Raw genomic sequence first — 12,390 nt, 5'->3', positions numbered from 1 at the left:
TTTTTTGAAACAGGGTCTTGCTCTGTTGCGCGATCACGGCTCACTGCAGCCTCAATCTCCCCAGCCCAAGTGATCTTCCAACCTCAGCCACCCAAGCAGCTGGGATCACAGGTGCATGCCACAACACCCAGCTAATTTTTTGTAGAGATGGGGTCTCACTATGTTGCCCAGGCTGGTCTCAAACTCCTGGGCTCAAGCAATCCTCCCACCTCTGCCTCCCAAAGTACTGGGATTACAGGAGTGAGCTGCTGCACCCAGCCTGAAGTAAAAAATTTCTTAACCAGGCACAGTGATAGGATAGTTTCCAATTCTAGGAATCTGCCTGGATCCCATTCTCTCAAAGCCAATTCCCAAATTTCTAAGCTGTATGCAATATTCTAATTCCCGTAACAATCTGCTTAGATTGACTACAATCCAAACTGATTGTGTTAGAAAGATGTACATTTAAAAGCAGACGCTAGGTACACCATGAGAGGCTGGAATAGCATAGTTAGGAGTGTGGGCTCCAAACTGGATTTGAATCCTAGTTCCATCACTTAGTTGTGTGGCTTGAGACAATTTGATAAATTTTCTTGTGCCTCAGTTTCCCTTTATATGAAATATGGTTAACAACTGTGAGATTAAAATTTGTTCACACATGAAAATTGCGTAAGACTGTGCCCAACACACAGTAAATGCCCATGAATAGCCTTTTCTCATTTTTTTTTTTTTTTTTGGAGACAGAGTCTCACTCTGTTACCCAGGCTGGAGTGCAGTGGTGCAATCTCAGCTCACTGCAACCTCCGCCTCCCAGGTTCAAGCGATTCTCCTGCCTCAGCCTTCCAAGTAGCTGGAATTACAGGCGTGCACCACCACATCCAGCTCATTTTTCTATTTTTAGTAGATACTGAGTTTTGCCATGTTGGCCGGGCTGGGCTGGAACTCCTGGCCTTAAGCGATCCTCCTACCTTGGCCTCCCAAAGTGCTGGGATTACAGGATAAGCCACCATGCCCAGCCTATGAAAAGCCTTTTGTAATCTTACGTTTGCTTCTTTGTTTGTTTGTTTGTTTGTTTTGCGATGGAGTCTCACTCTGTTGCCCAGGCTGGAGTGCAGTGGCTCAATCTTGGCTTATCACAACCTCAGCCTCCCGCGTTCAAGTGATCCTCCTGCCTCAGCCTCCTGAGTAGCTGGGACTACAGGTATGCACCACCATGCCTAGCTAATTCTTTTGTACTTTTAGTAGGGACAGGGTTTCACTATGTTGGCCAGGCTGGTCCCGAACTCCTGACTTCATGATCCGCCCACCTTGGCCTCTCAAAGTCCTGGAATTATAGGCATGAGCCACCGCGCCCGGCCTGTAATCTTATAAAGAGATGGATGGATGGATGGATGGATGGATGGATAAATTAATAAACAAATAAAATACTTAGACTGAAAGAATATATCCAAAAGTACCCATTGGTGTTATCTTAGGGAAAGGAGTGGTTATGGGAGTCTTTCACTTTAACATAACTGGGTATCCCTGATATGAGGCCCCAAGACCCCTATTTCTTATCGATCATAGTACTCATCATATTAGAATTGTTTATTAATATTGGCGTTTCCACACTACCTAGTTCCCTGCCCCATGTCCCTGGTATCTGTCTGTATGCAGCTTATAATGCAACAGTAAAGGGAATGGGTCCTGGAGCCAGGCCACTGGTTCACATCCCAGTTGTGTGTCCTTGATTTACCCTTCCTGGACCTCAGTTTCACCATTGTGTGCAATGGGATAACAATGGGAACTACATTGTGTGGCACTTGTGAGGATTAGATTGTTTCTATACCAAGCGCTTAGTAGAATACCCACTACATAGAAAGCACTCAATAAATTTCAGCTCTTAGGCCGGTTGCGGTGGCTCACACCTGTAATCCCAGCACTTTGGGAGGCTGAGGCCGGCAGATCACCTGAGGTCAGGAGTTTGAGACCAGCCTGGCCAACATGGTGAAAACCCATCTCTACTAAAAATACAAAAATTAGCCGGGCATGGTGACAGGTACCTGTTACCCCAGCTACTCAGGAGGCTGAGGCAGGAAAATTGCTTGAACCCCGGAGGCAGAGGTTGCAGTAGTGAGCCAAGATAGCACCACTGCACTCCATCCTGGGCAACAAGAGCGAAACTCCATTCAAAAAAAGAAAAAAAATTGGCCCTTATGCTAGAGTGAGGAGGAATGATGCCCGTGGAGCAAGGGTGTTTGTTGACTTTTAACACATTGTGCATTGATTGACATTTTTTGTAATGAGCACATATTACTTTTTACAATTAAGAGACTTCCATTAAGAATTTTTATTAAAAATCTATACCATCCCTTCCCCTCTCCTCTAGGGCATTTTACCTTTGAAACTGTATGAGATCCAGCAGTGCTACAATGGGAGTAAAATGAAAAGACATCTTTAAAAGGAATCATTCCAGAGAGATCACAGCTACATTCTGTTTGAAATTCTTAGAAGAAGCAAGTGGAGATCAAGGGGGCACATTACCATTCAGATAGCTTCCATCTATTATTTCTTCCTAAAAGGCAAAGAGATAACATCAAGTATAACAACCAAAAGTTGGCAATTCCAGTAGAGGGGACTCTGATTAACAGAAAATAGAATACTCACCGCCATGTTTTGCAACAATGGATGCAAATCTGTAAGAAAGCCATTGAATGTATAACTAGAATTGAATTGTGTGACCTTCAAAACTACAAATATGGGTTAGAGGAAAAGCCCCAGAAAGCCACTCATGAAGGAAATTTTTAGTGAATTTTAATTATAACTGTCCACTCTGAGAAAACCGTGGCTTGAAAAATCCTCTTAGAATAATCCTGAAAAATCATACATGCACACACACACAGCCCAAAAACAACTTACAGCATCATGTACCTAATGTATCTATCCCACCTCATTCCCTAAACTGTGTGGAAACCACAAAGGGTGATTCTTCCCTCAGGACTTACCCTGCCTGGAATTTGGCACTGTATAACTCGACACTCCATGGCTCAGAAAAAGGAATAGGAAAAGGGAGTATGTCGTAGGTTCCTGAGACATTCTCCTGTAGTTAATTTAAGCATAGAAGTGATTCATGTTTTTTTAATATATATATATATACACACACACACATATATATACATGTATATAAACATATATATATATATGGACATTCAGAAGACAAAAGGAAAAACCAAGTACACCCAGAATCCCTTGAAGTCTTTTTTAAAAATAATTTTAAAACTCACCTACTTTCCTCCATCTAAACCCCCATTCTTGTCTAAGACACTATCATCTCTCTCCTTGGTGACTACAATGGCCTGTTTATCTTACCACTACCCCCAACTCCTCTCAATCCAGCAAAAAGGTATAGTCAAAAGTAGACTCTGGGCCAAGCATGGTGGCTCACACCTGTAATCCCAGCACTTTGCATGGCCAAGGTGGGTGGATCTCTTGAGGTCAGGAGTTCGAGACCAGCCTGGCCAACATAGTGAAACCCTGTCTCTACTAAAAATAAAAAATTAACTGGGTATGGTGGTGCATGTCTGTAGTCCCAGCTACTTGGGAGGCTAAGACAGGAGAAGTGCCTGAATCTGTGAGGTAGAGGTTGCAGTGAGCCAAGATTGTGCCACTGCACTCCAGCCTGGGCAACAGAGCGAGACTCTGGAAAAAAAAAAGTATAGACTCTATTTTATCTGCAAGAAATTTATATCCAGAATACAAAAACTACTCTTATAATTCAATAAGAAGATAGACAAGCCAAGGGGAAAAAATGTTAAAAAGATATGAAGTTGGCCAGGCGCAGTGGCTCACGCCTGTAATCCCAGCACTTTGGGAGGCTGAGGTGGGCGGATCATGAGGTCAGGAGATCCAGACCATCCTGGCTAACACGGTGAAACCCCGTCTCTAATAAAAATACAAAAAAATTAGACGGGCGTGGTGGCGGGCGCCTGTAGTCCCAGCTACTCAGGAGGCTGAGGAAGAAGAATGGCGTGAACCCTGGATGCGGAGCTTGCAGTGAGCCGAGATCACGCCACTGCACTCCAGCCTGGGCGACAGAGCAAGACTCCGTCTCAAAAAAAAAAAAAAAAAAAAGATATGAAGCTAAACTTCATAAAAACAGATGTAAAAATGGCCAATAAGCACACAAATGATTATCACATTAGCTAACAAGAACTAGCAAATTAAACTCACAACGAGACCACTACAAAGTCACTAGAATGGGCAAAAATTTCAAAGACTGACTATCAAATGTTGGTGATGATATGGAACAACAGGAACTCTGATACAGCTGCTTGGAAAAACTGTTTGACAGTGTCTTACAGAGTTAAATATACAATACCCTATGATCAAGAAATGCCACCCCTAGGTATTTAAGCAAGAGAAATGAAAACATGTCTACACAAAGATTTATATAGCTTCATTCATAGTAGCCAGATATTGGAAACAATCACATATCCAATAACAGGTGAAAGGTTAAACATGGATCTCCATTCAGTGGGATACCATTCAGTAATAACAATAAAAAGAAATTCATCATAATTTTATTCTAGCTATGATGGAGTAATTGGCAATGGATAAACCGTCCTGCCTTAAACAATTAAAAAGCTGGCTGAAATATGTGCATCCAAAGGTTTTTCAGACATTGGGCAGCAGGTAGCACAAGACTGAGATCCCTGAGCAAGGAAGGCAAACAAGCTGAGCTCTATAATTGCTCCTGCTCACTGCCTGGAGTCTCCATCCAACAGCACAAGGAGGGAGAATCCAAACAGAGCCTACAGGTCTCACTGAGCAGAAGAGACGGAGTGGAACTTCAGGGAAATCAAGGCAGCTAGAATCCATAAGAAGAATACTTGGAGAGGAGGAAGTTGCACAGAGAGAAAGTTCTGGAGATCTGAAGAAGGGTCTTTTGAGACTTTGGCTGAATATTTATCTACCTTTGCATGTAAGAAACCTCCTGAGGCTGGAGAATGAACCACCAGTAGGCAGAACAATCCTTGGACCTCACAGGGGAATGAGAATAGCTCCTGCAAGCTGCAATGGAAAAACCTCCAAACACATTGGGCATCAGGGTCAATCATCAAAGAACAATTGCCTCCATGATAGGCCAAATTAGCCCTAGGCTAAAGTTTATTCCAGATCTGCCCTAACAAATCTCAAAAGCAAGTCTTGGAAGGATCTAATTGATTCCAAGTAACTGAATTGCATTCCAGAACAAAACCCAACAATATTTAAAGCAGTATCATAAAACCCAGAAACTTCAGAAAACCAGAAGATGGAGAAAGAAAAAAAAGAAAAAAAAAATCCAGCAATGTAAAATCCGAAGTGTCCAGATCTAATCAAAAATTATCAGGCAGGCCAAGCACAGTGGCTCATGCCTATAATCCCAGCCCTTTGGGAGGCCAAGGAAGGTGAATTGTCTGAGCTCAGGAGTTTGTGACCAGCCTGGGCAACATGGTGAAACTCTGTCTTTACCAAAAATGCAAAACTTTGCCAGGGATGTGGCAGGTGCCCAACTACTCAGGAGGCTGAGGTGGGAGGGTCACTGAAGCCTGGAAAGTTGAGGCTGCAATGAGCCATGATTATGCCACTGCACTCCAGCCAGGGTGACAGAGCGAGAACCTGTCTCAAAGAAATTTTTTAATAAATAAATAAAAATTACCAGGCATACTAGGAAGCAGGAAAATATGGCTGATTATCAGGAGAAAAATCCAATCAATAGAACAGATCCAGAAATGACACAGAAGATCCAATTAATGGACAAGGATGTTTATTATAAATACACTCTGGAAGTTCAAGAAAGTAGGGAAAACTGCGAGCATGTTAAAGGGAGAGACATGGTAGGTGCGAAAAAAACCCCAAGAGGAACTTCTAGAGATAAAAATACAATATCTGAAATGGAAAATACACGGGATAGAGTTAACAGCATATTAGACACTGCAGAAGAAAAATTAGTGAACTTGAAGTCATAGCAAAATAAATTATCCAAAGTAAAATGCAGGGGGAAAAAGACTGAAAAAATTAAGAGGGCTCTGGAGCAATATGAAACTATTTGAAATATGTGTAACTGGAGTCCCAGGAAAGGAGGGGGTGGCACAAAAATATCTGAATAAATCATTAGCAGGGCACAGTGGCTCACGCCTGTAATCCCACATTTTGGAAGGTTGAGGTGGGCAAATCACTTGAGGCCAAGAGTTCAAAACCAGCCTGGCCAACATGGTGAAGCCCCATCTCTATAAAAAAAAAAAAAAAAAAAAAAAAAAAAAATAGCCAGGTGTGGTGGCTGTAATCCCAGCTACTCAGGAGGCTGGGCACAAAAATCACTTGAACCTGGGAGGCGGAAGTTGTAGTGAGCCAAGATTGCACCACTGCACTCCAGCCTAGGTGACAGAATGAGACTGAAAAAAAAAAGAGAGAGAGAGAAAGAAAAAGAAAGAAGGAAAGAAAGAGAGAAAGAAAAAGAAAGAAAGAAAGAAAGAAAGAAAGAAAGAAAGAAAGAAAGAAAGAAAGACAGAAAGAAAACATGACCTCATGACCAAATTTGTGTAAAGTTTGATAGAACTACAGATCCACAGATCCAAGAAGCTCAACCAACCCCAAGCAGAGGAATCATGAATAAAGCCACGCCAAGGCATATAATAATCAAATTGCTAAAAAAAAAAAAAAAAAAAAAAAAAAGATTTTTAAAAAAAATCCAGCAAAAAGGAGTTGCATCTAGACTATATTGAAAAACTCTTAAAACTAAAAAATAAATAAGCAATCCAATCAGAAAACGAGCAGAAGATATGTGCAGATATATCATCAAAGTATATATACAGATAGCAAATAAACACATGGGAAGATACTCAGCACTGTTAGCCATTAGGAAAATGACCACTGAAACCACAGTATAATTATAGGCCTATCAGATGGCTAAAATAAAAAAAAAAAAACCATAATGAAGCCAGGCGCAGTGAATCATGCCTGTAATCCCAGCACTTTGGAAGGCCGAGGTGGGTGAATCACCTGAGATCAGGAGTTTGAGACCAGCCTGGCCAACATGGTGAAACCCCATCTCTACTAAAAATACAAATATTAGCCGGGCATGGTGGCTCATGCCTGTAGTCCCAGCTACTCAGGAGGCTGAGGCAGGAGAATTGCTTGAACCGAGGAGGCGGAGGTTGCAGTGACTGGGAGGCAGAGGTTGCAGTGAGCCAAGATTGCACCACTGCACTCCAGCCTGGGCAACAGAGTGAGACTTCAACTCAAAAATAAATAAATAAATGTAACCATAATGCCATTAACTAGAAAGAATGAGGAGAAACTGGATCACTCACACATTGCTGATGAGAATATAAGGTGGTACAGCTATTCTGGAAAATAGTTTTGTTGTTTCTTATAAAATTAAATGTGTACTTAACGTACAGCCCAACAATTACACTCTTGGGCATTTATCCCAGAAAAATGAAAATTTATGTTCACATAAAAACCTGTACACAGGCTGGGCATGGTGGCTCACGCCTATAATCCCAGCACTTTGGGAGGCTGAGGCGGGTGGATCACGAGGTCAGGAGATCAAGACCATCCTGGCTAACATGGTGAAACCCCATCTCTACTAAAAATACAAAAAATTAGCTAGGCGTGGTGGTGGGCGCCTGTAGTCCCAGCTACTTGGGAGGCTGAGGCAGGAGAATGGCATGAACCCAGGAGACAGAGCTTGCAGTGATGCAGTGAGCCAAGATCACGCCACTGCATTCCAGCCTGGGTGACAGTGTGAGACTCCAACTCAAAAAACAAACAAACAAACAAACAAAACCTGTACACAAATGTTCATAGCATCTTTATTCATAGTAGCTGAAAAATTGAACCAATCTAAATGTCATTCCGTAGGTGAATGGTTAAACTCACTGTGTGTGGTATGTCCACGCCATTGAATACTACTCAGCAATGAAAAGGAATGAACTATTGATACAGGCAACAACTTTGATGCACCTAAAGGGAATTATGCAGAGGGAAGAAAGCCAATCACTGAAAGTTATATACTAATGATTCCAATTATAAAGCATTCTTGAAATAAAATTATAGAAATGCAGACTAGATTGGTATTTGCCATGGGGAGAGGGAGATAAGGCTGTCAAGGGATGCATGAAAGAGGCTTGTGATCACCAGGAGAGTTCTGGGTCCTGATTAGGGTAGCTGATACATTAGTCTACACATGTCACAAAATTGAAGAAAACGATATAAAATATACACACAAAGGAGTGCATGTAAAACTAGTGAAATCTGAATAAGCCCTGAATTTGTACCATGATTTCCTGAATTTTATATGGTACTATTGTTACATAACATGTAACCAATGGGGGAAACTGGGTGAAGAGTACACAGGATATTTCTTTTGCAACTTCCTATGAATCTGTAGTTATTTCAAATTCTTTTTTATTTTCTTGAGAGACAGAGTCTTTCTCTGTCACCCAGCCTGCAGTGCAGTGGCATGATCATGGCTCACTGCAGCCTTGAACTCCTGTGTTCAAGTGATCCTCTGGTCTCAGCCTCCTGAGAAGCTGAGACTACAGGCATGCACTACCATGCCCAGCTAATTCTTTTAGTTCTTGTAGAAATGGGTTCTTGCTATGTTTCCCAGGCTGATCTCAAACTCCTGGCCTCAAGCAATCCTCCCATCTCGGCCTCCCAAAGTGCTAGGAATACAGGCATGGGCCACCATCCCTGGCCACACAATTGTTTTTTAATTTAGTTATAGTAGTCTGTACCACTGTAGGATGACAATAGTTAACAATAATATATAGTTTCAAATAGCTAGAAGGAAGATACTGAACAGAAAGAAATGAGAAATGTTTGAGATGGTAGACATGCTAATTACCCTGACTGATCACCATACATTATACACATCAAAACATCTTTATGTACCCCATAAATATGTACAATTATTATATGTCAATTTTTTTTTTTTTTTTTGAGATGGAGTCTCACTCTGTCACCCAGGCTGGAGTGTAGTGGCGCAATCTCGGCTCACTGCAACCTCCGCCTCCCAGGTGCAAGCGATTCTCCTGCCTCAGCCTCCTGAGTAGCTGGGATAACAGGCATGCGCCACCACACCCAGCTAATTTTTGTATTTTTAGTAGAGATGGGGTTTCGCCATGTTGGTCAGGCTGGTCTGGAACTCCTGACCTCTGGTGATCAGCCCACTTCAGCCTCCCAAAGTGCTGGGATTGCTGGCGTGAGCCACCGTGCCCGGCGTATATGTCAATTTTTTAAATAAATAAAATAATAAATTTTTAAGCACCCAAAGGGAAAAAACCCATATTATATGCATAGGAAAAGGAATACACTACTGATATAGGCAACAACACAGATGAACCTCAGAAACATTATGCTTATGCTGAGCAAAAGAAGCCAGTCAAAAAAGACCACATAACATATGATTCCATTTCTGTGAAACTCTAAGTTATCTAGAATATCTAGATTCTAGGTTATCTAGGTTACCTAGAATAATCTTCAGTGACAGGAAACAAATTAGGATTGGTCTGGGGCATTATTAGGGTACAATGGGAAAAGTTTATTGCAACAGGGCACAAGGGAACTTCTTGGAGTGATGGAAAAATTTTTTTTGTAGATATAGGGTCTCACTATAGTGCCCAAGCTGGTCTCAAACTCCTGGTTTCAAGCAATCCTCCCTTCGAGCTTCCCAAAGTACTGGGATTACAGGTGGATGCCATTGCACCCAGCCCCCATTTTTTGTATCTTGATTGTGGTGGTTGTCACACAGATACATACATTTATCAGATCTCACTGAACTGTACACTTAGTGTGCATTGTATTGCCTGTAAATTTATACCTCACAAAAGTCAGTATCAAACAGAAATGGAAAAGCATGGACTGTGGAGCCAGTCACCTGTTCTGAATCACGTCTCCGCCACTTACTAGCTGTGCAATGTTGGACATATTTCTTTCTTTTTTTTTTTCTTTTTTCTTTTTTCTTTTTTTTTTTTTTGATATGGAGTCTTACTCTCTTGCCCAGGCTGGAGTGCAGTGGTGCAATGTAGGCTCACTGCAACCTCTGCTTCCCAGGTTCAAGCGATTCTTCTGCCTCAGCCTCCTGAGTAGCTAGGATTACAGGTACCCACCACCACACCAGGCTAAGTTTTGTATTTTTAGTAGAGACAGGCTCCCACCATGTTGGCCAGGCTGATCTCGAACTCCTGACCTCAAGTGATCCACCCACTTTGGCCTCCCAAAGTGCTGAGATTACAGGTGTGAGCCACTGAGCCCGGCCTTGGACGAGTTTCTTAATCTCTCTGCACTCCAATTTTCTCGTCTGTAAAATGAGATTAATGATGGTACCAGCATCACTGTGTCGTATGAGGGTAAAATGAGTTGTTAATAGTGAATCACTTCAAACAGGGCTTGACACAAAGTCAGCTCTGTATACAAGTTTATTAAATAAGCAAAGAAACCAGATTGCTGTTTTCAAACAGATGCTGTTTTGAAAAACACCATCTCAATAAACTCATGTCACCCTCCGCCTCTCCCCATTACCCTCAAGATAAAGCCCAAAGCTTTTCCAGTGGCTGTATCACCCTCCTCTTTGCCCCTCATTCCCCAAGGTTCCTGCCCGGGCCATCTGTCTGTCCCTCCAAGGTGCTATCCTCCCCAGATTAAGACCCTCTCACAGGCTGTTCCTCGGCCCAGAGGATTCTTCCCCTTCCTCTTTGCCCGGCTAAGATCAATTCATTGTAAATTTCAAGTCTTCAATGAAGCCTTCCCTGAATTCTCTGACCAGGCCAAAGCAATTAGCCAGAAGAAAAGGCCAATACTTCTCTTTTATAGCACCAAGCACAGCTATAATACATATTTATGTTTGTGTAATTATTTCATGCTTTCATTCTTCAAATATTTGTTGAGTAGTGCTGTGAGCCAGGCATTATTCTATGCTCTGAGAATACAGCAGTTTACAAAACTAACTCCCTGCTGGTGTGTTGGAATGAACCAGGCAGAAAATAGATAATCAAATAACTATATTATGTCAGGGAGTGATGAGTGCCATGGAGAAAAATACAACAGGGTAGGAAAAAGGAGCCAAAGAAGGAGCAGGTACTATTATAGACAGTTTGGTCAGGGAAGACCTGAGGAGGTGACATTTAAGCAGAGACCTCAGGAAGTGAAGGAATGAACCACGGGAATATCTGGAGAAAGAAAGTTCCAGAAAGAAAAGAAAATGACAGTGCAAAGGCTTTGATATTAGGAGCATAATTTGCATGTTCTTCAGTAAATTGCACGAAGAGGATATAACAGTAGGACATGGGGTTGGAGAGGTATCAGGGCCAGAGTGAGTAGGGTCTTTCAGGCCATTGTGAGCGCTCTGACTTTTACTTGGAGGGAGGTGGGAGCCACTGAAGGGATATTAGCCAGGATGGATGCTCTGACTTGTTTTTGTTTTTGTTTTGTTTTGTTTGAGATGGTGTCTCACTCTGTCGCCCAGGCTAGAGTGCAGTGGCACAATCTCAGCTCACTGCAACCTCTGCCTCCCCGGCTCAAGTGATTCTCCTGCCTCAGCCTCTCAAGTAGCTGGGATTATAGGTGCCCACCACCACACCCAGCTAATTTTTATATTTTTGGTAGAGACGAGATTTCACCCTGTTGGCCAGGCTGGTCTCGAACTCCTAAGCTCAAGTGATCCACCCACCTCAGCCTCCCAAAGCTCTGGGATGACAGGTGTGAGCCACTGTGCCTGGCCCTGACTTTTATTTTAACTGGATCAAGCACATTGATTGCTGTGTTGAGAATACCCTGGAGTGGAACAATGGCTGTAGCAGGCAGACCAATCTAGGAAAGAGATGACAATAACTTGGTCATTGATAGCAGTGAAGGTGGTGAGAAGTGGTTGGATTTTGGAGGTATTTGGAAGGCGGAACCAAAAGATCGAATGTAGGGAATAAAAGAAATAGACAGGTCAAAGACAACGCCAAGGATTTGGCCTGAGCATGTAGAGAGGGAGATGGGAAAACCATAGGAGTTCCAAGTTTAGGGAAGGATCCCTGGAGCTCAGTTTTGGACATACTAAGCTTGAGAAGCCTTTTAGAGTGCAGATAGCATAGCAAGTAGGCAGTTTGATGTTTGAGCCTGCAGGTTAGGGGAGAGGTGCTGTCAGAAGCAGCTATCTAAACAGAGATAGTCAGTGGTTTTTTGTGTTTGCTTTTTTGTTTGTTCTTCTGTTTTGGGGGTTTTTTTGGGGTGGGGGACAGAGTCTCACTCTGTCACGCACGCTGGAGTGCAGTGGCACGATCTCAGCTCACTGCAACCTCTGCCTCCCAGGTTCAAGTGATTCTTGTGTCTCAACCTCCCGAGTAGCTGGGATTACAGGCTTGTGCCACCGCACCGGCTAATTTTTGTATTTTTAGT

General features: G+C 42.6%; 1 protein-coding gene across 1 annotated transcript in view; it reads right to left on the bottom strand.

Moving 5' to 3' along the window:
• The window catches only part of OTOA (otoancorin), a 96,762-nt gene that overhangs the window by 79,161 nt on the left and 5,211 nt on the right, over positions 1–12,390 (bottom strand). Inside the window, exons 2-5 of the mRNA NM_144672.4 lie at positions 2,964–3,058; positions 2,626–2,654; positions 2,503–2,533; positions 2,358–2,385 (exon numbers count right to left, since the gene is read on the bottom strand). Of these exons, the coding sequence (NP_653273.3) occupies positions 2,358–2,385; positions 2,503–2,533; positions 2,626–2,654; positions 2,964–3,054 (179 nt within the window). The 5' untranslated portion in view covers positions 3,055–3,058. The remainder of the gene's footprint in view (positions 1–2,357; positions 2,386–2,502; positions 2,534–2,625; positions 2,655–2,963; positions 3,059–12,390) is intronic.

The sequence above is a fragment of the Homo sapiens genome, chromosome 16, assembly GCF_000001405.40.
Source record: "Homo sapiens chromosome 16, GRCh38.p14 Primary Assembly".
NCBI lineage: Eukaryota > Metazoa > Chordata > Mammalia > Primates > Hominidae > Homo > Homo sapiens.
Note: the sequence above shows the minus strand (reverse complement) of the source record. Positions and strands in the feature narration are given on the sequence as shown.